The 23,644-nt window shown below is 49.8% G+C and overlaps 2 protein-coding genes across 4 annotated transcripts in view, besides 7 other annotated features; both read right to left on the bottom strand.

Moving 5' to 3' along the window:
• Positions 87 to 21,993, bottom strand: MICAL1 (microtubule associated monooxygenase, calponin and LIM domain containing 1). Of its 3 annotated transcripts, none has more exons than NM_001286613.2 (25): positions 21,689 to 21,993; positions 9,964 to 10,264; positions 9,663 to 9,870; positions 9,288 to 9,392; positions 8,536 to 8,640; positions 8,271 to 8,426; positions 7,625 to 7,725; positions 6,325 to 6,582; positions 5,995 to 6,110; positions 5,682 to 5,808; positions 5,425 to 5,506; positions 4,757 to 4,904; positions 4,228 to 4,418; positions 3,900 to 3,988; positions 3,706 to 3,747; positions 3,382 to 3,465; positions 3,098 to 3,254; positions 2,721 to 2,797; positions 2,161 to 2,437; positions 1,796 to 1,887; positions 1,441 to 1,554; positions 1,222 to 1,315; positions 921 to 1,020; positions 750 to 823; positions 87 to 364 (listed from the first exon to the last, which is right to left on the bottom strand). In NM_001286613.2, the coding sequence occupies exons 1-25, from the start codon at positions 21,700 to 21,702 to the stop codon at positions 216 to 218; spliced, it is 3,261 nt and encodes a 1,086-aa protein (NP_001273542.1). In that variant the 5' UTR covers positions 21,703 to 21,993; the 3' UTR covers positions 87 to 215. The 3 variants fall into 3 exon arrangements, with proteins under 3 accessions (NP_001273542.1, NP_073602.3, NP_001152763.1); NM_022765.4 differs by lacking the exon at positions 21,689 to 21,993 and adding an exon at positions 11,744 to 11,797; NM_001159291.2 differs by lacking the exons at positions 6,325 to 6,582; positions 21,689 to 21,993 and adding an exon at positions 11,744 to 11,916.
• Positions 4,031 to 4,080: a silencer, noted in NCBI's record as "silent region_17460". NCBI's record gives its function as "represses an Ori minimal core promoter by ATAC-STARR-seq in GM12878 lymphoblastoid cells {active_cell/tissue: GM12878}" and the evidence as "EXISTENCE:reporter gene assay evidence [ECO:0000049][PMID:35858748]".
• Positions 10,389 to 10,438: an enhancer, noted in NCBI's record as "active region_24926". NCBI's record gives its function as "activates an Ori minimal core promoter by ATAC-STARR-seq in GM12878 lymphoblastoid cells {active_cell/tissue: GM12878}" and the evidence as "EXISTENCE:reporter gene assay evidence [ECO:0000049][PMID:35858748]".
• Positions 10,669 to 10,718: an enhancer, noted in NCBI's record as "active region_24927". NCBI's record gives its function as "activates an Ori minimal core promoter by ATAC-STARR-seq in GM12878 lymphoblastoid cells {active_cell/tissue: GM12878}" and the evidence as "EXISTENCE:reporter gene assay evidence [ECO:0000049][PMID:35858748]".
• Positions 10,801 to 11,309: an enhancer, noted in NCBI's record as "H3K4me1 hESC enhancer chr6:109775979-109776487 (GRCh37/hg19 assembly coordinates)". NCBI's record gives its function as "activates a minimal SCP1, AML or CMV promoter by ChIP-STARR-seq in naive and primed H9 embryonic stem cells {active_cell/tissue: H9 hESC(naive and primed)}" and the evidence as "EXISTENCE:reporter gene assay evidence [ECO:0000049][PMID:30033119]".
• Positions 10,869 to 11,208: a silencer, noted in NCBI's record as "silent region_17461". NCBI's record gives its function as "represses an Ori minimal core promoter by ATAC-STARR-seq in GM12878 lymphoblastoid cells {active_cell/tissue: GM12878}" and the evidence as "EXISTENCE:reporter gene assay evidence [ECO:0000049][PMID:35858748]".
• Positions 11,569 to 12,418: a silencer, noted in NCBI's record as "silent region_17462". NCBI's record gives its function as "represses an Ori minimal core promoter by ATAC-STARR-seq in GM12878 lymphoblastoid cells {active_cell/tissue: GM12878}" and the evidence as "EXISTENCE:reporter gene assay evidence [ECO:0000049][PMID:35858748]".
• Positions 15,169 to 15,218: an enhancer, noted in NCBI's record as "active region_24928". NCBI's record gives its function as "activates an Ori minimal core promoter by ATAC-STARR-seq in GM12878 lymphoblastoid cells {active_cell/tissue: GM12878}" and the evidence as "EXISTENCE:reporter gene assay evidence [ECO:0000049][PMID:35858748]".
• Positions 18,619 to 23,644, bottom strand: part of ZBTB24 (zinc finger and BTB domain containing 24) — a 20,626-nt gene continuing 15,600 nt past the window's right edge. The window contains exon 7 of the mRNA NM_014797.3: positions 18,619 to 22,599. Within this exon, the coding sequence (NP_055612.2) occupies positions 21,876 to 22,599 (724 nt within the window). The 3' untranslated portion in view covers positions 18,619 to 21,875. The remainder of the gene's footprint in view (positions 22,600 to 23,644) is intronic.

Genomic DNA, 23,644 nt, shown 5'->3' on the forward strand with positions numbered 1-23,644 from the left:
CACACTACAGACCTTAAGGCTCCTACACATCTTCTCCTGTCCCCATACACGCCCCCACCTCCCACCTGTAGGCGGTGTGAACGCTGTTTGTGGCAGAAACATTTTAATTGTAAACAGCAAGGCTCTCTGCCAGGCAGCCCAGATGAACAGGGGTGGCACTGTGCTGGGGTGAGGTGCTTTCTTTGTGGGAACGAAAGCAGACGGCCCACCCTCGTCTAGCCCTGGGCCCCTGTCCCCAAGGCCAGCTCGCTGAGCCTGCGCTCCTCCTGGAAGCGGATGAGGGCATCTCTCTGGTTGACCAAATCCACCAGCTTCCTCAGGACCTGGTCCTCAGCCTGCCGATCAGCAGCTGTCTTTAGGTTTTCTAAAAGGAGGAGACAAAGCTTAGAGAACAGGGAACTGGGCAGGGAAGCAGGAGGGCCACAACCTAATCCCAGCCTATGTGATTTCTATAACCCGGGCTTTGTTTCCTAAGCTGCCAAATTAGGAGGGTTGCCAACACCAGTGGTTTTCTAGCACTACTGAGCAGCACGATTTTTTTTGAAGGAGATCTTATACAAAAGCCAACTGTGCAGCTCTGATTGAACTGAAGTGAGAAGGGGCTTTGGAGCCCCCTCCTCTGGCTTCCTCCTGAATTGTCTCAGAGGTACACAGACTAGAGCATCATGTTGCTTGGTCAGTATCTGAGATCATGAGGCTTGCATGACACATCCCTGGGATGTGTCTGCTTCTCCCCACATTTCACCTACCTTCCCGGTTCATGTAGCCTCGTAGCTCCTGGTCCAGCTGCCACTGTTTCTCCTCCAGATTCAATTCCTGCACCCTGTGGAGGTCAGGGATTGTAGAAGCAGAGCTGTCTAAGGTGCCCAAGGGGCTGGAGCCTGGCCCATGGGCCACTGTCACCATCCCCTTCCCCTTACGTGATCATGAGCTCGGCCTCCTCAGCCACCAGGCTGTTTTTCTTGTCAACGAGCTGTAGCAGCTGTCCTACCCATAGTTTCTTTTGCTGTTCTGGGGAACCTGAGAAGAAGGAAGATGGGTAGGGTGATCAGGAGGCTTCCAGCCAGCACCACAGGAGTTACAGGCTTAGGGGAGACAGGAGAGCCGGGTGTCACAGGTATGTGTTAGCTGTGTGGCATAGCCACTGGGACTCCTACGGGCTGGAGCGTGGAGCTGAACACAGTGCTAGAAGGCAGAGGGGTGTCCTAGCTTGTCACTCACTGCTCTGGCGCCTCAAGGCCAGCTCCAGCTTCACGCCCTCGGCCTCTAGCTCCCTCAAGGCAGCCTCAATCTCATTTAGTCGCCGTTGGATGGTCTGAGGGGTACAAGACAGAATATCCAGGAGTCTCTAGGTTGCTCAAGAACAGAGCACTGGAGGAACTCTGATCTCAGTCTCAGAACTTTGACCCCATCAGAATTTTGGGAACCCCCGGGCTTCACCTGGGCCTTGCAGAACCTCTTCATCTCCTCCTCCTTCGCACGGCGCAGCAGAGTCCGACGCCATGTTGGGTAGTTATTCATGGTGCCTGAGGTCTTGGCAAAGGTCTGCAGGGCCTATAGGAGGGTCAGGCCAGTCAGGGATAGGGCCTGGGCCCCCTGGTGGATAGGAGTGTTGTTTGGAAAGGCAGAAAATAACCCGTGCTGAAGTGGGGTAAGCTCTGGTAGAAAAGGTAGAGGCCAGAGATATGACAGGCCAAGTGAGAAGACATTCCAAGAGAAGGGTGCAGTGGACCAGTGCAGGTTTCTCCTGTAGTGGGCTGGAGAGCGTTTTGTGGCTGCACGCTGGCCCACTCACCTGTTCCACATCTGAGTCCAAAGGCACATCTTCTTCTTCCTCTTCACTGGAGAAGGGACTCTCTTTTTCCTCCTTCTCCATGGCCACAAGAGCTGAGAAGAAGAACTGAGACGTTCTACTGCCTCCAGCGCCTGCCCCAGTCAGGCAACAAAGAGCATGGTGGTGACGGAGGCCCTGCAAGTCTGGTAAAGACTGAATGTATGTGTTGGGGCATGGGAGGAACTGAGAAGAATGGAGCAGAGGAGAGGCTGCCACGGCCTGGGATCCCCACAACTTCCCTCTGTATTCCCCAGAATTCCTCTGCAGGAAGCCAGTGCTCCCACCCTGTCCCACCCTGGGTCAGCACATCTGTGAGGATGGGTTACCTTGAGGGCTCTGGACTGGCAGGCCCCAGCCCACAAAGCTGCTCTCCAGGGCGTGGCGGGCCAAGGCGGAGCAGCTGCGGGGAGGCTTGGGTGGAGGCTCCATTTCCGGGTCAGGGGTAAGGTTAAGGGAGGACAACCGCTGGCGCTCCGGGCTGGAGAGGCGGATCTGCCGACGGGTGGGCTGGCTGGGATCTGGAACAGGACCGGCCCCCTCCTGCGAGGCTGTGGGAGTTGAGAGGCCTGGTGGCATGCTATTCTCACTTGGTGTGGGGAGCTCCTGGAAAAGCCACCATGTGGAGTGAGGTCGGGGGGTGAGGCCACCCCTTCGGAGCAAAGGTGAGCCTTGGCATTCATTCACTTAAAACCATTTACAAACAGTGTCTGGCTGTGTTTTAGATACTTGAGAGAACAAGAAGTGTAAGCAGACAGGCATCCCTGCCTTCACAGAGCTTACATGCTAGTAGAAGACGACATTCAGTTACCCCCAGCAAAGCGCTGGTTTGACGAGACCCTCTTCCTCTTCCCATGCCCCAATATACATACACGCCTTCAGTCTTTACCGGACTCTCAGGGCCTCTATCGCTGCCTTCCGCTTTGTGGTCTGTCTGGGGCAGGTGCTGGAGGCAGTAGAAATGTCCTGGAAAGGGTAGAGAGGGGAGGAGGCATTTGGTGTGGGCAGCCCAGTGCCCAGACACGCAACAGTTTATGAAGGAAGGTGGGGAAAACAAGACAGATTTGCAGGTGAATTTCTGCCAGCCTCCTGTTCCTCAGAACCACACATCTGGAGCTTTGCAGGGGACAGAGAAGACCCTGAGCTCAGGAGAACGAAGTGCCATCTTGAGCCTGTTTCCATCCTGTGCCTCTCTACCTCAAGCTCTGTGTCCCCCAAGCAGGGCCAGGCCCAGAGTCTCTCTGGAGGTCTCCCAGGCCCACTCACCATCTCCTGGGTGCTGCTCGTAGCCACCTGGCCACAGTGTGGCCTCACAGGTATGGCAGCGGAAGCAGCTCCGGTGGAAGAAATGGCCGTTGACACAGAGGCGTTCCAGGACATAGAGGTGTTCCCCACAAAGTGCACACAGGTCCCCAGCACCGGCCTGCGTGGACCCCCAGGACACAGGGTCAGGTGGAGCCAAGGCCAGCTCCAAAGTTCTTTCCCTCCCATGAAACGCCCCTGCCCTGCCCTCCCCGGGCCTCTGCCTGCACACAAAGCCTGGCTCTCACCTCCTGGTGTTGGGATGGGGGTGTCAGGGGTACACCAGGCTCTGGGTCAGGTGGCACCTCAGTACTTGGGGTCTCGGCCTCCATCTAAGGAGGTAAGTGCTCAGGCAGGGAGGGTAGAGGGGCAGGGCCAGCTGGGAGGGGATGCGTACAGATGAACACAAGGGGCTGAAGGGAAGGGGAGTGAGACTAGGCAGGGAGGCTGGATGGGGGGGTTACAGGACCTGGGGTGGGGAACAAGACATGGGATGAGAAATAGGGAAGACAGTACCAGGAAAGGGGATAAAATGTGGGGTAGGAGACCGACCCGCCCCTGCCTGCATTCACCTCCAAGCGCAGCTTCTTGCCACCAGCATCCTCTGCATTTTCCTGCAATAAGTCCTAACAGCTCTAAGTGTGATGTTTTGAGGTCCCAGTCCTCCCCACTTTCTGAATGTCCTCACCATCACCCCAGGATCTCCACTGGGTACCCCCCTGCCCACTCCTCCCTGCTCAGCTCCAGCCCTGCCTAAACTCTCCACCTTGGCCCGGGATCGCTGCAGGGTCCTCTGAAGTTTACTAAGGAATAATACAGCACTGGAGGTCCCTGGGGAGGCCTGGCTGACAGGGCCTGCGGGGAGAGCCAGGGCATCAGTGTGGATGGGGGGTGCCAATACTGTACTCTCAGAACAGACAGTCACTCTCCAACCCAGAAGGACACCTCTCCCAGGCTGGCCCTCAGAGGGCGCCTTCTTCCTCTTTCTGACACACACACACACACACACCGCCTTCTCCCTCTGTCACACACACACACACACACACACACACCTCCCCATCCCAGTTATCCTGCCCGCCTTTCCTTCAGGTCACCTGGGCTGTGGGCCATGCTCTTGAAGGCACTGTGGAAGTGGCTGAGGTAGGCAATGAGGCCCAGTGGGTCACTCCCTGCTACCACGGCCTGTGCAGACACCACCGGTGTGATGCCCAGCTCATTCTCTGCCACCTTTAGTGCCCAAGCAGTTGCTTCCAGAGCTCCCAGCCCCTGCAGCTCTGAGGGTTCCCTGTGGGATGTCAGGGAGAAAAGCCAACTAGAGACAAGAACCTAGCCCCACTGAGGGGAGGAAGGGCAGCAGGAGGGGAGGGACAGCAAGCAGCAGCTGGGGTACAAGAAGGCTTGAAGGTAGGTGTGTAGTCTCTGCTACCCAGTGCCCAACCCAGTGACACTACTCCTGGCTTTGGGGGCCTGTGCCATTCACAAAGCTCTCCACTATCTGAATGCATTAGAGTCTCACAAGACTGTCGGCAGATGCAGGGAAGCACACTGTCTCTAGGATTCAACTGGATATGCTAACTCCTACACTGAGATCATGAGAGAGAGGTGGGTCTGCCAGGGACTCACAGCAGGCCAGGCTGCAGCCGGTACACCAGGGCACACAGAGCTAGCCCATCAGCCCAGGAGGAAGACAAATCGGAGACGTGGACTCCCGGGTACCCAGCTGTCTGCTCCTGGCACCAGCGTAGCAGCTCCTCCTGGGTGCCTGCCGACCCTGGGAAAGAAGGCTGTGCTGTGCCCAAGGCCCCCTCTGCCCATCCCAGGCATATAGGGAGCCCAGCTGCTGCATGTGGGGGTTCTGTAGGGGAGGAGGAGTCAGGGACCCACCTCTACTAGGGCACCAGCCTAAAGCTGACTATCAGCAGCTCTCCATCCCAATTCTCTTTTAAAAAAAATCTCTTTGGAATAAAGTAGAGGAGTGAATAAAGTGAAATCGCAACTGGCCACATAGAGGGCAGCAGACTAAACTGGGGGCAGGGGAGGTTGCCAGCACCACTATGGCTGTAACGGTGGTTCAAACACTAACGCGCTTACATTCAGACTGGCAGCCAACTGCTGCCTGTGCGGTGCTGCCCCTCCGTTCCTCCAGCAGGCCCCCAACCAACCCACCAGCCAACAATGAGTGCTCCGGCACGCTGCTCCTGTCCTGAGGCTGCAGCTGCTTTGCAGGGACCACCTGGGCCTCGCTGGGTAGTACATATTTTGGTCACCCCTTGGGAGGAAGGCCTGCTCACCGGTGGCTGGCATCCCTGTATCTGTCTTGTCGTTGTTCCTCTGCACAGGCTCCTTGGCTAGCACATCATACAGGTCTCGTACCTAAGGCAGCCCCGCTCAGGTCTCAAGGCAGGCTGGCCACACAGCCCCTGAGTCCAGGGGTAAGGGCCTGCCGGGGGTAGGATTGACCCCAAAGGGCAGCGACTGGGCAGGGAGGGCCTGACCTGGGGGAAGGGGGTTGGCTTGGGAAGGCTGGTGGGTGTGTCGGGGGTCTGACCTGATTGGGGGTCACTGCCCGGAGGTTCAGGTTGGGGTAGCGGGTGGCTGGGTCCAGCCCATACTGGGCCACATTGCGATGCATGTTTTCTGGGGATGTCTGTGACAGAAGCTGGTACAGGCTCTCACTGAGGGGGTGAGGGTAAGGGGCAGGGGCATGAATGGGAGGGCACCTGTCAGCACCCACCTCTCAGGAACTGCCAGGCCTTTTCTTCTGCCTATTCCTCCGTCTATTCACTCAGCACCCCTGCCCCTCTTCCTGAACCTTGTCACATGTCCTGCCCTGCCCACATCCTCCTCAACTCAGGTCTTACCGCTCAGCCAACACCTCTAGGGACTCAGCGCCCTCTGCCCACCGCTTCACCATCCAGGCTGCATCAAAGGCTGCCAGGAAGCCCCGTGCCACTCCAGTGCCCAGGGGCCAGAAGGGCTGCAGTGTCAGAGGAATAGGAAGCAGCTCAGGGAGAATCCAACAGGTGCATCCCAAGCCCAGATATCCACCCAGGTCACAGCAGAAGGGGCCATCCCCACACCAGGCAGCCCTTAGCTCCTCCCCTCTGCAGGCAGACCTTTTTATCCCCTCCTCCATACTAGGCAGCTCCCTCCCCTAACCATGAAACCCCTGTGCCTCCTGAACCCCTCACCTCCACCAGGCAGTCCCCCACCAGTCCCAGCAGCAGGCGGGCGCCATGCTTCTCTTGCACACGAGCAGAACTCTCTGCCCGCATCATGCTCGTGAAGTCAAAGGCAGAGACATCAGGCTGCCCATGGGCATCCTGGGCAAACTCTAGTTTCCCGAGCTTGCCATGGGTGGCAAAGTCAGCAGCTGCCCGGGTAAAGCGCTGCAGAGCCTCGGGCACCACATTGGCACTGCCCAGCAGCCGATTGGTGTCTGGCCAGTCCTGTATGGTCAACAGAGCAGAACCTCAGAGACCTCTGAGAGCAGGGTCAGTGGGCCAGTGCCACCCCCTTGGGCGCAGAAGGTGCACATCCTGGGGCCCAGAGAAGGAAGGGGCTGCCCTAGACTACACAGCAGTTGAAGGCTGAGCTGGGACTAGAATTCCAGCAGCCTGGAATTCTCAAAGCCCTTTCTTCAACATTCACCCTGCTGCTGGGTGTCCCAGGCTCTGTTCTGCCCATATCATTACTGTCATATACTTGCCACAAACTCAAGAGCTTTAGTTTGTCCATCACTTAGAGACAACATGCCTAATTTATCAGGGTACTCATGAGAATTAGATGGGAGATGCAAATTTAACTCTCAACACAGTATCTAGCACATGGTAGGCACTCAACTAGTTCATTCATTCAGCAAATACATACCGAGCGCTTACTATGTATTTGGCACTGTTCCAGGTACTGGCAATTAGCAGCAAGCAACAGACAAAGAGACAGAAATGCCTGCCCTCATGGAGCTGACACACATCTACTGTGGCTGGTATAAGGTGTTTAGCCCAGAATATGATTCCTGCTGCCTTGTAAATCCCAGGGGAGAACTTTTTTTTTTTTTTTTTTTGAGACAGAGTTTCACTTTGTTGCCGAGGCTGGAGTGCAGTGGCACAATCTTGGCTCACTGCAACTTCCGCCTCCCAGGTTCAAATGATTCTCCTGCCTCAGCCTCCCTAGTAGCTGGGATTACAGGCGCCCGCCAACAAGCCCAGCTAATTTTTGTACTTTTAGTAGAGACGGGGTTTCACCATGTTGGCCAGGCTGGTCTTGAACTCCTGACCTCAGGTGATCCACCCACCTCGGCTTCCCAAAGTGCTGGGATTACAGGCATGAGCCACCATGCCTGGCCAAGAGAACTTTTAGAGGTGAAGTTAATGCCAGGACAAAGGCAGGAGAGGACGGGGTCCCCACACCCAGGTGTCGACTATGTCCAAGCCTAGCCTCTGCCTCCCGGGGCTCACCACCCAGCCTCTCCTGGCCAGGACTGGGCCTCACCTGGCGCAGCACCCCCAGCCGCAGCAGGCACTGCTTCTTGGCTGTCATCACAAAGTAGTGGGTGTCGTCCTTGTAGTACACAATGTTCTCCAGATCAATGCCTGGGGGTACAGGGCAGGGGACAGTAGATATGTCTCCTGATAATGCATCACCTTCCCTAAACATCCCAACATGGCCTGACCTCTGAGCTGGGATCCCAGCTTAGGCTGCGGTGAGTGCTCCACGCATAGAACCCCACGAGTCCTGATGACACAAACAACCATCTGTCCCAGGCCCAGGAGGCCTGAGGACTTAGAGCAAAGAGGGAAGCTTGGAGGGGGGTGGCATTTGGGAGACCTGCACCACCTGGTCGCATGGCAGTGCAAAACCAAAGTAAACAGAGGCACCTTCTTGAAGTACCACTTAAGCAAAACTCCCATACACAGGTTCATCTCTGAGAGATTCCAGGACTTTTCATGCTGGGTGATCAACTAGGGCTGTGCTTGCTTAATCCCTGAGGGGACAGGTTCCTTCTCCTTTGCTGCTGAGACCAAAAAAACAGAAAAGTGTGGAGTTCCTTGCAGTGAGGACAAGTTTGGAAGGGAGAGGCAGGAGCCAGGCCACAGTCAGGCAGGGGGAGGGGAAATTCAGCAAGAGGGTCCCTGACCTGTGGCTTTGAGAAGGCTCTGGAAGAAGCTCTGGTTGTAGATCCTGGCTACACCACTGATCTCCGGCACCTGTGTCTCCTCCACGGTGCGTCCATTCACAAAGTTGGCTGTGATGCCAATGGCCAGTTTGCCTCGCATTTCTCGAACTTTGAAGCCTAGAGGTGGCGGTAGGTGAACAATGGCAGGAGGAGGGGGTTATAACAATCTAGAAAGGCCCAGGATGTGCCAGAGATGCTGGCTTCTTTGAGGGAAGTGATCACTCACCTTCAGGGACGAATTTACCTCCTGCAGCCGAGATAAGGACGTCAAATTCATAGTTGGCCAGCTGGGCAGGGGGGTTGGGTTGGAGCTGGGCACGCCAGCCACTCCCTAGGGCAGGGGGTATGAGAGGCACAAAGGTGTAGAAGTCGTAAGAGCCCCTATACTCTCAGGACAAACCAGTGAAATCATCAAAACGTGTAAAGGACTCTCTGGTTTAGAAAGCAATGATATATTATCTATCAGATTACACCTTCACAGCAGCTATGGAAGGCAGGTGAGGAAGGAAGTGTTATTCTTGTTTTGCAAATGCTCAATCTGAGGCTCAGAGTGGCTTGCCCAAGGCCACACTATTAGAAAAGGAGACTCCTGGCTGGCATGGTGGGTCACGCCTGTAATCCCAGCACTTTGGGAGACCGAGGTGGGTGGATCACTTGAGGTCAGTAGTTCGAGACCAGCCTGGCCAACACAGTGAAACCCCGTCTCTACTTAAAAAAATACAAAAATTAGCTGGGCATGGTGGCACATGCCTGTAATCCCAGCTCCTCAGGAGGCTGAGGCAGGAGAATCACTTGAAACTGGGTGGCAGAGGTTGCAGTGAGCCGAGATCATGCCACTGCACTCCAGCCTGGGTGACAGAACGAGACTCTGTCTCAAAACAAAAACAGAAAAGGACACTCCTGGCCCATCCTTTTTCAGACACTGGCCAAGTTCTTGATGGGGGAGGGGGAGATTCCAGGGAGCATAGAAATACTTACCCTTCCTAGGAGGGGGCTGGAGGCCAGTGAAAGTGACACCCCAGTGAATTTCCACCCCCAGCAGCAATGCTACCTTCAGCAGAAGCAGCTGGAGCTGCCTGATGCCTGGAAGGGAGAGGACATTAGGAACAGGGACCCTAGGGCAGCACAAGCTCCCCATGTACCAGTGTGTGCCTGGTCAGGGTCAGACTGGAAAAGGCCTTAGCAATCACTCAGCCCAAAAGCCCACTTATAGATGGGGGACCTGAATCTTCAAGGTCACCTGGCTGATACGGATCTTGTCCACTTCGACATTTGGCTGTCCCAGCATTTCCCCACTGGCCTGCCTCTAGGCCCAAGCTCACCCGCCCCTCCAGGCCACCACGTGGTGCTCACTGATGTGGTCCAGGGTGCCGGTGCAGAAGCGCCCGTAGAACTTCTTAGCACCGAGTGCCCGCAGGTCGTGGATGGTGAAGGGCCAGAGGTGGAGCACGTTGTGGCGAGAGAACTTGGTGCGCTTTTCCACCAGCACCACTCGGGCCCCCAGCAGCGCCAGCTCCACAGCGACCCGCAGCCCGCAAGGTCCAGCACCCACCACCAGGCACTGTGAACACACAGGGCAGTGAGGGCATGGCATCCTGTCCGTCCTCTGACTCCCCGCATGCTCCACACCCCATCCCAGGCACCGTGTATCCACCTTGGTGCTGGTGCAGGCCCGGCCCTGCTGGTAGACAGGCTGGCCTGCTCGCTTGTCCAGCTTGGTCCACAGTGACTTGGCGCTCCAGTAGTTGAGCTGGTCCTTGATCTTGTGGTACTGGGGCAGCCCCCCACCGGGTTCCAGCCCCAGGGCCCCACACAGCTCCTGGAAGCTGCTCAGCACGTCCTGGCACAGCTGGGCCTGCAGGAAGCTCTCAAAGTGGGCATGCGCTGGGTTGGTGGAGGTAGGTGAAGCCATGGAGGCCTCCTGGGGAGGGCAGCAGCTGGGCAGAGATGAGTGGCTGGAGAGGTGGAAAAAGAAGGGGAAGAGGCTGGAGAACAGAAGAAATAAAAAGGAAGGGGAGGCGAAGAGAGCAGGCTGGTGTCCCCAGGGAGCTCGGGATTCACCAGTGATTGGCTCTGCTCCTCCCAGCCCATTCCCCTGCCAGCATCTGCTCCAGAGACAGCTGCTATCCAGTCCACTCCAAGTGAAATTTGCCAAATTTGGAAGTGAAAAACATTAGTCTTGGGCACAGAGGGCACATGGGACACCAGGGGAGCCTCCAGTTCAGCCTCCCTGTCCAGGGATCTCCAAGCCCTGGGGTAGGAATTCTTAGCCTGCCTTCCTTAGGCCTTGGAATCAGGGTGTGCGGGGATTTCTTAGATGTGGAGAGGACAGAGCTGCCTTTGCATGCAACACAGGGACAGATCTGATACCCACAACCCCAGCTGCTGAGCATACATCCTGCCCCATCTCCCTCCAAGCGTCCCTGTGCCGGCGCCCCTTGATGGCCTCAGTGCCACGCTGTGTCTGAGAAGTGTCTCATGGCAAGGGCAAAGTTTTCCTCAGCACTCGTGCTTGCCTCCTGACAGAGAAACAGCCTCTGTCCGCGTAGGTTCCACTTCCCTCCACCAAACTGCCTCAACAAACGGCGGGAGGATGTTGCGACTGACTGGGGAACGGAGGCCTGGGTCTATTTCTGACGCACTGTGGTCAAAACACTTCCTCTGTGAATGTGCCCTACTCCAGGGGGCCGTGGGTAGGGCTGGGGGTCGACCGCAGCCGGGTGCGCCCCTCCCAGGTTCCCCCCTCCCTGATCGACCCCTACCCCGCCCCGCCCCCTGTGCGCCCGGGCGCGCTCTCCCAGGAATCTCCGGAGACAAAGCCTCGCTTTGTCGCCCCCTCCCACGCCACCTGAAGGGTGCCCGAGGGGGTTTCTCACGCGGGGCCCAGAAGGTATCAGAGGGTATGGAGGAGGCGGGTGTCCACGGCAGCGTTAGGGAGGGTGAATGGCAGCAGTGGGGGCAGGTCCCTGAGGCTCAGGCCCCTCCACCATCCAGCTGCCCCTCCGTTCCCAGCCCGCCGCGCCGAGACAGGAGATGAAAGCCTCCCGCTGCGGGTGGCCCGGACGAGGGCAGACGGAATCTCATGACGGAAGGGCAAAGATCTTTCTTGGGGGTGGAGGGTGGAAGGAGGAAGACCTCGGCGAAAGGGGAGAAAGGAGCGACCCAGCCTGGAAACGCCAGGACAAAGGCTGTGAGAGGGGTGGAGCGGTCTGAAAGGATGGAGAGGGAGCTGGACCGCGGGCGGCAGCGGTGGGGGTCCCCGACACTGGACGGCAAAGTCCGGACGCGGCGTGAGCAGGGCTGGGCTGAGGGAAGACCTGCCTGACCTGCCAGGCGTGGTTCCCGAGCGACCGCAGCTGCGTTTCCCCGGAAGCGCACCCCACCTCACCCCACCCGGCCGCGGGGCTCGCAGCCGGCTCCGCTGGACGACTTACCGGCGGCTCCGAAGCCGGGAGGGGCCGCTTCCTGTTGGGCTGGCAACCAGGTCTGAGCGGGTGGGAGGGCGGGGGCGGGGGCGGGGGCGGAAACGCCGAGATCGGGCGGGGATGCTGGGATGCGGGGCGGCCCGGGGCGTGCGCCTGGAGTCGCGCGGAGTGTGGGCTTCCGCGAGGGGCGCGGGGCGCCGCCCGGGCTTTATTCGCGACTCATTAGCATCTCATTACTTCTGGATCCCTCTACCGCCTCCAGCGGGGACAGTCTTGGGCCCGCCCATGCCTGCAGGGTGGCGCCCGAGGGCGTGGCGCTGCGGACACCCCGTTCCGCTCTGGGGCCTCTGGGTGGGTCTGGCCTGTTGGGGGCTGAGGAGCTCGAGGGTCAGGGCGCCCAGTGCTGGACCGCGCACCCTCGGCCTGGGCTCCTTGCCGGTGCTTGCGCGTGCAAGGCTAGCTCTTTCCCCGCCGCAAGGCGAGGACCACCCGCCCCCGCCGCGGTCCCAGGTCCGCTGGCAGCCTCCCAGCGCCGGGCCGAGAGGGCGCTCAGGCTCCTCAAGAGGTTTGGAAAAGCCGGCGGGTCCGAGGGTGGCGCCGGAACGTCTGCGCTCTCCTCCGGTCTCCCACCTGGAGATCCACGGCCCGGGCGCCCCAGGATGGATCCAAGCGCAGAGTGCGCCTCCTGTGACAGAGGTCGACCCCTAAGCCCGGGCCGAGGGCAAAGGGCGCGGATTAAAGTCCTGGAAACTCAGCAATCTGCAGCTTCCAAATGGATATGAGAAGTGAGAGGGAAGGGGATGGCGGGGCGGGTTAGACCACCACTAAGAGATGGGGAATGGGAGGGGTGTGTGGAAGAGAGACCAAGTCTTCAAAGAATGCCTTAGAGTGAGGACCCACGGGACTGTCTGCTGAAAAGGGCTGGAGAGGCCTTTGGGATCAGCTTCGTCGTATTCCCGATAAGGAACAGCGCCTAAAGTGAAGGGACGCGTCCAGTCTTTTAGCTAGTTAATATTAAAAAACATCGTCTCATTTATTGACCGTCATCCTATGAGTATTACCTCAACATCAGTGCTTGCAACAGTCCCATTTTACCAAAAAGGAAACTGAGTCACAGATGTTCTGTGATCTGCACACAGCAAGTGGCAGAGCTGTTTGGGGGCCCAGGTCTGTCGGCTCCACCACCCCAGGGTTGACCCAAAATGACGCATGAAAGGCTGGCATTATAAGATGCTGTTTCTTGTTTAGACGAAGTGATACTGTTACACTGGAAGCACTAATAAAACCCAGGTATAAATAAGAGGGTTGCTGTCCTTGAGATCCAGAGACCATAAAGAGCTGGGAGGGAATAGGGCCTCTCCCTTTATTCTCATTTTGCATTTCATCTGGAAAATATCTGAGACCCAGTAAGACCTGAACACTCACTGTTCCCAGCTCGAGCTGAGAAGCAGGCAGTGGGACGAAAGCAAGGGGAAATGCCTGTTCTCTGCCAGGAGAGGCGAGGGAATTCAGCCAGGTCACGCTCAGAAAACTAGGGCAGCCTCTCAGTTGGGCCCATCCTAGCTTTTGAGTGTGACACGTCATTTGGCTTGAAATGAATTTGCCGAATATCAGACACACCCATATTTAAATACATGGTGTAAAAACGTTCTAAAGTCCACTACAGCTGGGTTACCCTGGGCTCCACCACCCCAGGGTTGATTCAAAATGATGCGTGAAAGGCTGGCATTATACGAAGCTATGTCTTGTTTAGAGGAAGTGAACTGTCACGCTGGAAACACTAATAAAACCGAGGAATAAAGAGGAGGGTTGCTGTCCTTGAGATCCAGAGACCATAAGAGATCCAGAGACCATAAGAGATCCCGAGACAGTCCCTGGCTTCTAGAATAATCTCATTTCCCTTTCACTAGCAGATGGTACACAACTAGCCGCTCCACTTACTACAACTACAGCGGCTACAACTAGCCGCTCCACTTTGCAAAGGCTTAGTGGGGTCTGGCTTGACTCAATGCCTTTTGCCAAGCAGGGTCATGTGGCTCTATGAATGACACATCATAAAATTTGTCTTTAAAGAAGATCAGAGAACAATAATGAGTTCATCAGTGCTAAAAACTGCTGACTTGAAGTTTCAACTTATGCTAATTAAATACTTAACATGGGGGCATAAAGCAGCAGGGAATACATTGTTCTGGAATCCAGAAGGTCTGGTTGGATTCCAGCTTTGCTTCACGCTAGCCTAGTGTGACCTTGGATGTCACCAACCACACTTCGTCTGCCCATCTCTAAATGGAGGCAGTTTAATTACTCAGCCTTCTCAGCCCATTTCTACTCCAAAATCCTATCATTCAATGCTGTCCTAAGAAATGAACAGACTAGAAGACCCAAACCAAGTTCTACTTAGAATTTCTTCCAAGAAAAAAAAAAAAAACTCTATTAAAGCTATTTATTAACCACAAGAATTTCTCTCCTTAATTAGAATCTTGAGTCATGATTCAAATTATGTGTATGTAGAACTAAAAATACTGGCACAATCACATTGGCCAATTCATATTGGATCAAATAAGTGGGTGACACATGAAGTCAGTTTAAAGAGTCCCATTCTAAGGCTGGGCACAGTGGCTCATGCCTGTAATCCCAGCACTTTGGGAGGCTGAGGCGGGCAGATCACCTGAGGTCGGGAGTTCGAGACCAGCCTGAGCAACATGGAGAAACCCCAACTCTATGAAAAATACAAAATTAGCCAGGCATGGTGGCACATGCCTGTAATCCCAGCTACTCAGGAAGGCTGAGGCAGGAGAATCGCTTGAACTCGGGAGGTGGAGGTTGCGGTAAGCTGAGATCGTTCCATTGCACTCCAGCCTGGGCAACGAGGGTGAAACTCCGTCCAAAAAAAGAAAAAAAGGAGTCCCATTCTAATGTTTTTGCAAACGGTAAAACCTAGCAGTAGCCTAGGTTAAAACCTGAGCCATTACGACAGGATCCTCCTTCCTCTGCCCCATACCATGTTCTGTCACCTCCCAATTTCTTATCTCCTGGGCCCAGAAACTGGGTCCCTAGTACTGTAGGTGGCATGTTTAAGTCACCTGTAATATGGCTTTGTACCTGCAGGCCAGTATCTTCAAGCAACAAACCCATGGTCCTGGGCCGGGAAGCTGTGGCTGCAGTATAGCCAGAGACAGAGCCCATGATTTAAAAAGTGACATCTGCGCCAAAGGTGTAGAGAGTGCCATGAGAGGATGTGACAACATGGTTTGATTGAGGTTAGAGGACAGATGAGTACTCATGAATCAGAGTGGGGGCAGACAACTTTCAAGGCTGAGAAACCACCTGCCACAAAGCCTTCAGGCAGGAAAGAGCTGGGTATGTTTGGGGAACACCAAGGAACCACGTGACGAAATGAGAATGGGGAAGAGGGTCCCAAGAGGAAGTTGGAGATTTTATTCTAAAGGCCAATGGAAACTCTGTAGAAGGATTTTAAGCAGAGCAGAGACACGGTCATATTTATCTTAATAACTAATGCAAATCCATTCATTCAGCAAGGCACTCTGTTTGATGCTAAGCTAAGGGTACAATGGTGAGCCCAAACAGATCACCACTTCCAGTGGAGAAAGCCCAGCAGGAGGTGGTAGAAAGGATCAATCAGGTCTTTGTCAGGAGTACAGGCAAGTGACATGGTATAGTGAGGATGGGAGAAGTGGATGGAGTCAAAAGATATTTCAAGGTGAAACTGACATAACATGGCCATGAATTGGGTGTGGGGGTCAGGTGGGCCCCTTCAAGAATGACACCCAGCTTTGTCTCTTGGCTTGGAGTGGGTAAATCACAAACTTGGGGCCCCCATTCTTTCCTATTTTTCCTTCCCACCTTATTCCTCTGTATGCTGCTTTTTACTCAATACCTTCCCCAGAAGTCAAAGCACAATTATGATTTCATAGATTCTGAGATAACACAAGGACTCTACCTTGAGAGGCTGCAAAGATTAAACACATAAATAGGTTCAGGATCAGTTAAATACTTGCCCATATTTTTGTAATAAGACTGCCTTTGCCCTTCAAACACTAAGATTATAAGAAACATTTATCCAGAAGCCACTTAATTAACCAAACTAAAATTATCTTGACAGGTGGATTTTTAAAATGTAGTTTTGTTTTTAACTCTGATTTAGTCTAAGGAAGCTTCAGTTTGACTTTTCATTTAACAAGGATAGTCATATGAATGAACTAAAACCAATACCCAAACTATTCTTTTGGAAAATCATCTTTGAATTATATTTAAAGTGACATATTATGGATATTATGAATTCAGAATAAAAGTTCTCTATCCTGACCCCTGCTCAAATTTTTTCCTTTTTTCACACTTCACACTGAATATAGTACCACTTTTCAGACTCATAAAAAAGCTAAGATCCCTTGCTGTTACCAAAATGTGTTTAAATTCCTACATTTTGTATTACTGAGAATGTGGGCTGAGTACAGTGGCTTGTGTCTATAATCCCAGCACTCTGGGAGGCTGAGGTGGGAGGATCACTTGAGCTCAGGAGTTTGAGACCAGCCTGGGTAACGTAGTGAGACCTTGTCTCTAAAAAAAAATCTAAAAATTAGCTGAGTGTGGTGGTGGTGCATGCCTGTGGTCCCAGGTACTCAGGAGGCTAAGAGGCTGTAGTGAGCCATGATCATGCCACTGCACTTCAGCCTGTGACAGAGCAAGACCCTACGTAAAAAAAAAAAAAAAAAAAGAAATGTAATCGAATGAGCTTTAGTTTAAAAGCTGTTGATGTCCCATGTTTCAAGTTAGAATGAAATATATATATAAATACACACACACACACACACACACACACACTCCAGTAAGCTAAAGTCTTTTGCTGCTTAATTATGTGTAAAGGATTTGAGAGCAGGATAAACTATCACAACATTCCAGCTTCTTTTAGAGGTCACTCCTTGAGAGCTGCTATTTACAAAAGGCAAGGCAAGCAGATTTTTCACAGGTCATTCCTCTTTATCTGCTATTTACAAAAGCAAAACAAAGAGTTTTCTTTCAATTCTTAAGAGTTTAGGCTTAAGTTTAGAAACTGAAAATGAAATTTTACCTTAATGCTTATTAAGGATAACAAAAATAAAACAAACCTACCCTAAACTTAAAATATCCTCAGTCAAAAATTTGAAAAAAGGGCTCACTTACAGAGGCTCCTGTTAACTAAGACATTTTCACCTTACCAGTAACTTTCATCCAACTGGCAAATTTCGATTAAGCTTTTTTTTAAATTATACTTTAAGTTCTAGGGTACATGTGCACAACATGCAGGTTACATAGGTATACATGTGCCATGCTGGTATGCTGCACCCATCAACTTGTCATTTACATTAGGTATTTCTCATAATCCTATCCCTCCCCCAGCCCCCCACCCTATGACAGGCCCTGGTATGTGATGTTCCCTGCCTTGTGTCCAAGTGTTCTCATTGTTCAATTCCCATCTATGAGTGAGAACATGTGGTGTTTGGTTTTCTGTTCCTGTGTTAGTTTGCTGAGAATGATGATTTCCAGTTTCATCCATGTCCCTGCAAAGGACATGAACTCATCCATCCTTTTTTATGGCTGCATAGTATTCCATGGTGTATATGTGCCACATTTTCTTACCAATTAAGCTTTAAATCAATAGTAGTGAAACACTAACATGATTATATGGTAGTTACTGAATTTCTGTAGACCGTAACTTTCACTACTATTGTTTTATGTAAAAAAGTTATAATTGTATGCAGGTGGCACATGCTTGTAATCCCAGCACTTTAGGAGGCCAAGGTGGGAGGACTGCTTGAGGCCAGGAGTTTGAGGCCAGCCTGGGCAATATAGTGAGACCCTGTCTCCACTTAAAAAAAGAAAAAAGTATGCTATAATTCCAGACATAGACCCTCAATTTTAGTCAAAAACTTCTATTACATTAAGCAGGTCACATTCTTTAATTAGTAAGTTCTTATTAAATATGTAATTTTTAATAAGAACTTAATAAGTGGGAAATAAATTATGTATTTAATAATAAATAAGAAATTACTTATTTAATAAGAAAATTGTCCTTTTCTTTTGGTTCTATTAACCTTGGGAATAAGAAATCCAGCTTAAAGTTTTAAAAGCCTGTGCCCTAGTTCTGGTTCTACCACTTACTGTATGACATTTGGCAACAGACTTTCTCTTTGGGCTCCATGTTCTCATCTGTCCAATAAGCATAATAATTACTCACCTCACCAGAATGTCATGAAGATTAAGATGAGACATGCTTCCAGTGGTTAAGGTGTGTCCCAGACACTGCTCCCCTCCTCACTCAGATGCCAGTTGTTAGGAGGTAAATTGTGTCCCCCTACTCCAAATTCACATGTTGATGTCCTAATACCCAGCATCTCAGAATGGGATTGTATTTGAAAAGATGATTAAATGAGGACATTAATGTGGGCTGATCCCATACAACTGGTGTTCTTAAAAGAGAGTAAGACAGAGGGAAGGACATGTGAAGATACAGGCAGGGGAAGACAACTAGAAGGGAGGCCTCAGAAGAAACCAACCCCACTGACACGTTGATCTTGGACTTTCTATTTTTTCAGTCACCCAGTCTGTGGTATTTGTTATGGTAGTCATGGCAAACTAATATACCAGTCATGAACAGAGGGGACTGGAGTCCTCCAACCAGAGGGTGCTATATTGTAAATCTGTGTGCCATGACATGGAAGATGTTTGAGACCCAGTAAGATATGATACAGATTTAACAGACCTGGCTTGGCTCCTGGACAATAGTAAGGACTCCATATTTGGAAGATATTGTTACATTCCCATTTATGAAAACCTAGATAAGCATCTATAATGAGAATCCTAGGTAAGCATTTATAATGAGAATCTTTTTTCATTCCTCAGCATCATTTAATCTGTTGCTCACAACATTTATAACACAAGAACCAACTGTAGAAAATACAGAGTAGAGGTGAGTTTCAAGAAGCACTGGGCAAGCACTTGAATAACTGATTTTGATGGTAAGAGCTCCAATCATCCCAAGGCAGACCCTCTTCTGGGAGAAAACCAAAGATTCACCTTCAAAACGAGGTGTTTCAGGAGCCCCAAAGCATAACATTCTATTTCCTAAGAAACACACTCTATATTTCTGTTAAAACAATTTAAAAAATGGTACACATTTAGTAGAAAATGAATTGTGAAACACTGCACTAGCAACATCATTTCTCAAGGACACATGAGAAGTACTTTCATGTTCACGACATTTCTTTTGGGTACTCAAGTCATTTAACTTTTTTTTTTGAGACGGAGTCTCGCTCTGTCGCCAGGCTTGAGTGCAATGGCGTGATCTCAGCTCACTGCAGCCTCCGCCTCCTGGGTTCAAGTGATTCTCCTGTCTCAGCCTCCCGAGTAGCTGGGATTACAGGGGTACACCACCACGCCCAGCTAATTTTTGTATTTTTAGTAGAGATGGGGTTTCACTATGTTGGTCAGGCTGCCCTCGAACTCCTGACCTCGTGATCCGCCCACCTTGGCCTCCCAAAGTGCTGGGATTACAGGCATGAGCCTCCACGCCCGGCGTCATTGAACTTTTTTATTCAAAGGGGTAGAATGTATATGTGGGACAAAGAAAGAGGCTAGATTAACAAAGCTATCATTTCCTTGTTTCTCTTTGACAGCTGGTCAAATAATTCAGGCATAGCTAGGACTGATGCTCAAGTTAGAAACAGGTGGCCCATGCTGTCCAATATAGCAGCCACTAGCCACATGTGCTTATCAAGCATTTGCACTGTGTCCCATGCAACAAGGAACTGGATTTTAATTTTAATAAATTTAATATAAATTTTTAAACTGATACTTATTTCAATTCTTGAAAAAAACTTTTGTCTTAGCTACTTGATATGAGAATCTGTTTTCAACTGTAAGTTGTATGAAATCTAAATACAGATCAAGTATGTCCAATGAACATTAGCATCCAAATGGAGATGTGCAGAAAGTGTAAAATACACACCAGATTTCGAAAGCTTAGTATGAAAAAGAGAATGTAAAATGTCTCACTAATATATTTTTATATGTTGAAATATTTGGCAAATGTTGGATTAAATAAACTTTTATTAACATTTTCACCTGCTTCTTTTTATGTTTTTAAAAGTTGCTACTAGAACATTTAAAGTGACCTATGTTGTTCATGTTATAGTTCTCTTAGTGTAGAGGTAGACTGTTATAGAGCCAGTGAAACTTGACTTATAAATAGCTATGTAACCGTATTTTCTGAATAATCACCTAGCTATCCAGAGTGAGTAAACACTCACTTACTTAAATATTTAATTTCCTGGAGAAAATGTGGATTGGTGGGCTTTGAAAAGTTGGTAAAAACTTTGTGTTTTAAGAATAAAATTAAACAGTTTAAACGAGAACCTGAAATAATACTTAGGGCTTAACAGTGTTTGTAAAAAATTGTTATCTTTGCTCTAGTCAGGCCTGATTTAACATTAGTTTGGTTGATACATATAAGATATATATCATTTTGGAAGTTTTGTGAATTACATATAATAAAATATAGCTTAGCAAATATGCAACCAAAATGTTTTTATCTTCTCTCAAACCTGAAGAATTCTCTATTACTCTAACCTCCAAATAACTTATTTGATTTAGGGAGAAATCAAGGATGTCTAAAACAAAACAATTGATGGAAAGGCTCTATTAATTTTAGAGTAGATTACCCCCTACTCCCCATCAGCATTGTTAATTTAGATATACTAGTGCCCACCTTCTTTTCTCAAAAATCCCCTACCAGCTTACATGAAAGTGGTAAAAGAATTCAATAAGCTTAGCTTGAAAACCTAACCCAAACATAATTTAATCTTTTGATGATGATTTAAAAATCATACAATTACAGACACATGCTGGCTACAAAGTCTCTGAGGCTCAAAGTTTTAAGATTAGATGAAGATTAGCTGGGTGTGGTGGTACATCCCTGTAGTCCCAGCTACTAGGGAGGCTAAGGTGGGAGGGTTGCTTGAGCCCAGGAATTCGAGGTTACAGTGAGCAATGATTGTGCCACTACACTCTGGCCTGGGTGATACAGTGAGACCCTGTCTCTAAAAAAGGAAAGATTAGGAGAAGATATTCACTTTGTGGGATTTAACTAGTCTGCAATAAAAATGAATTATAAGCTTCCATCTCCAGAAAGTTATCAGACACAACACGTAGATCAACATTTTCAGGAGATCAGTTAGAATTCAGTAGAGTATATATAAGACTTAAATTACACTGAATAAAGTTTTATGTTCCAGAATAGTGAAGAAAGCTTTACCTTCATGAAAATCAAATCTCTTTTCTGACAAAAATTCAGAATTTAGGGTGAATGTCTTGATCCAATTTTGTATTTTAAACTTAATTAAAATTTTGATAGCCTTCTGTTGAAAAATATGTAAATTTATGTTTCTCAGAAAAGACGAATTCAGAATTTTAAGAAATCCTATGCTTTTGGCTATCTTGTTACATGAATTTTGAGTTAAAATACTGAGTTTATGAGTTTGAATCTTTCTGAAGTGTTAACACAATAAGCCCACTGTACTGCATAAAGATAAAACGTTGAGGGTTACTTTGTCTTAGGGGACTGGAAATTATTAAAAGGGCAAATTCCCCATACATTGTGATCTGTCATATTTAGCCCTGACTTGTCTTGTGGTAACAACTGTGTTGCCTAAGAAAAATAAGAAAATAGAACAAACCATTCTGCCCAGTTCAACCAAAATGACTCCCTTTGTCCTAGAAAACAAAAAAACATAACTGGGGAGGTTGGCAAGACCATAACCTATGGCTGTGAACATTTAAACCTTACAGAAAAACTGAGATCAATGCCCCCAAAGAAAAACTACCCGAGTCTTTATGAGACATTGCAGATTAAAATGAAAACCATTCAATAATATTGAAATGCTCAATACAAATCAGTACCTTAGACAAGACATACACACATCTTGCTACCTGGATGGAGGGCATTATAAACATCAGTTAGCCATCACAGCTCTCACAGAAGCATCTGCAAGTCAATGGTGTGGAGAGCCTGATTTCAAGCGTTCAAAATCCAGTCAGAGCTGGCTTATAAGAAGAGCCCAATCAAGCAGTCAAACGTGTTTACAGGTCAGCTCTGCTCCTGGCCAAGTGGCGTTGGCTGGGGCACGTGGTGAGTGGGTGGTGGCGGACCAGGCTCCTGTGTCAGCTGCAGGTGCTGAGCTGGATCTGAAGTACTTGTAGCTAAATGGAGCTCCTCTGTTTGCTCTTGATGGGCATGAAGATGTTCCAGTGTTTCCTTGGACAGAGTGATCACGTGCACTGGCTCTGTTTGTGAGGGCCCCATCTGGCTTTCAATCATATTGAGGCTCTGAATGTGTTCTGTTTGCTCCTGTTGAGCTGAAAGAATTAAATTCTGCAGTTGCTCTGGCTGCTGCGTGAGCAGGGTAAGATTAGCAGCCTGGTCTGCAGTCATGTTTTGGGAACTCTCTGCAGTCACAATGCTGATTCCCTGGCTAGGACCGGGCATGAAATTGATGTTATGTACAGAATCGGTTACGAGAAGCTGAATTTCCTGCTCTCCCGAGGTAGAGAGTTGATATGGCTGTAGCTGAAGAATATTCCTGACCTCTTCTGTATTACTACTGCCAGAAATGCTGCTGGCATCTGAAGCATGCTTCTCCTTGCTATGAATTTTCAAGTGAGCCTTCAAGTTGTCTAAGCGAGCAAACTGTAAGTTACACTCAGGGCAGGAGAAAGGCTTCTTGCCAGTGTGTAGAATGCAGTGTCTCCTTTTGGCACTGGAGTCAGAGAAGGATTTGCCACAAATGCCACAGGAGTATGGCTTTTCTCCTCTGTAAGAAAATAAACATTTTATTTTTAAAATGGAAATACCTACTTACTACTTCCTGATTATTTAGGGGGAAGCAATCAAGAGTAGTGGAAAATTAACTAGACTGCAAGTCATAAGTCATGGGTTCACCTACTAATTCAAGGACTTGAAGCAAGTCTCGCTTCCATGGGCAGTTTTTAATCTGAAAATAGGGTGTGGGTGGTGCCTGAGGAAGGGTGGCAGATGGGGCACGGCTATATATGATAAAATTTTATGATTCCACAGTATGTATTTCAGATAAGAAAAGAGAGTAAATATTTATACAATAAACATATAGTTCTCTTTTGTTTTGTCTTAGTTTTCAGAGCCAATTTTTAGACTCTAATGGCCCAATAAGTATCTATGATTAATGTCAATTTAAAAAATTTAAGCATCCTCTAATTATTTGTGATGCTGTCAGAAGAACTCCTAAGTCCAACCTGGGGATAACTGTGTAAACAAAAACATTTATTCAGAAAACATCAAATTTAATACTTATTTTTGATTGAAGATTTAAGCTTTGGACCAATCCGTAGCCCCAATCAAAATTTAATAAATGAAATCAGTAATGTAAACTTTTACTGGCCAGAATCAGCATTCCTTTTTACCTAGGTGAGGAATTTCATTATTGAAAAGATAAAACAAAATAGGCCAGGTGTGGTGGCTCACACCTGTAATCCCAACACTTTGGGAGGCCCAGGCAGGCGGATCACTTGAGGTCAGGAGTCTGAGACCAGCCTGGTCAACATGGTGAAATCCCGTCTCTACCAAAAAAATACAAAAACTAGCTGGGTGTGGTATCCCAGTTACTCAGGAGGCCACGGTGGGAGAATCGCCTGAACTCCCACCTGCACTCCACTCACACCACTGCACTCCAGCCTGGGCGACAGTGAGACCCTGTCTCAAAACAAACAAACAAAACAAAGCCAAAGTAATAAACTGCACACAAAATTCTGCAAAGTAACAACTGGGAGAAAACTATATAGGTAACACATGTCACCTCACTGAACAGCAGAACTGAATGAGGC

The sequence above is a fragment of the Homo sapiens genome, chromosome 6 (assembly GCF_000001405.40).
Source record: "Homo sapiens chromosome 6, GRCh38.p14 Primary Assembly".
Taxonomy (NCBI): Eukaryota; Metazoa; Chordata; class Mammalia; order Primates; family Hominidae; genus Homo; species Homo sapiens.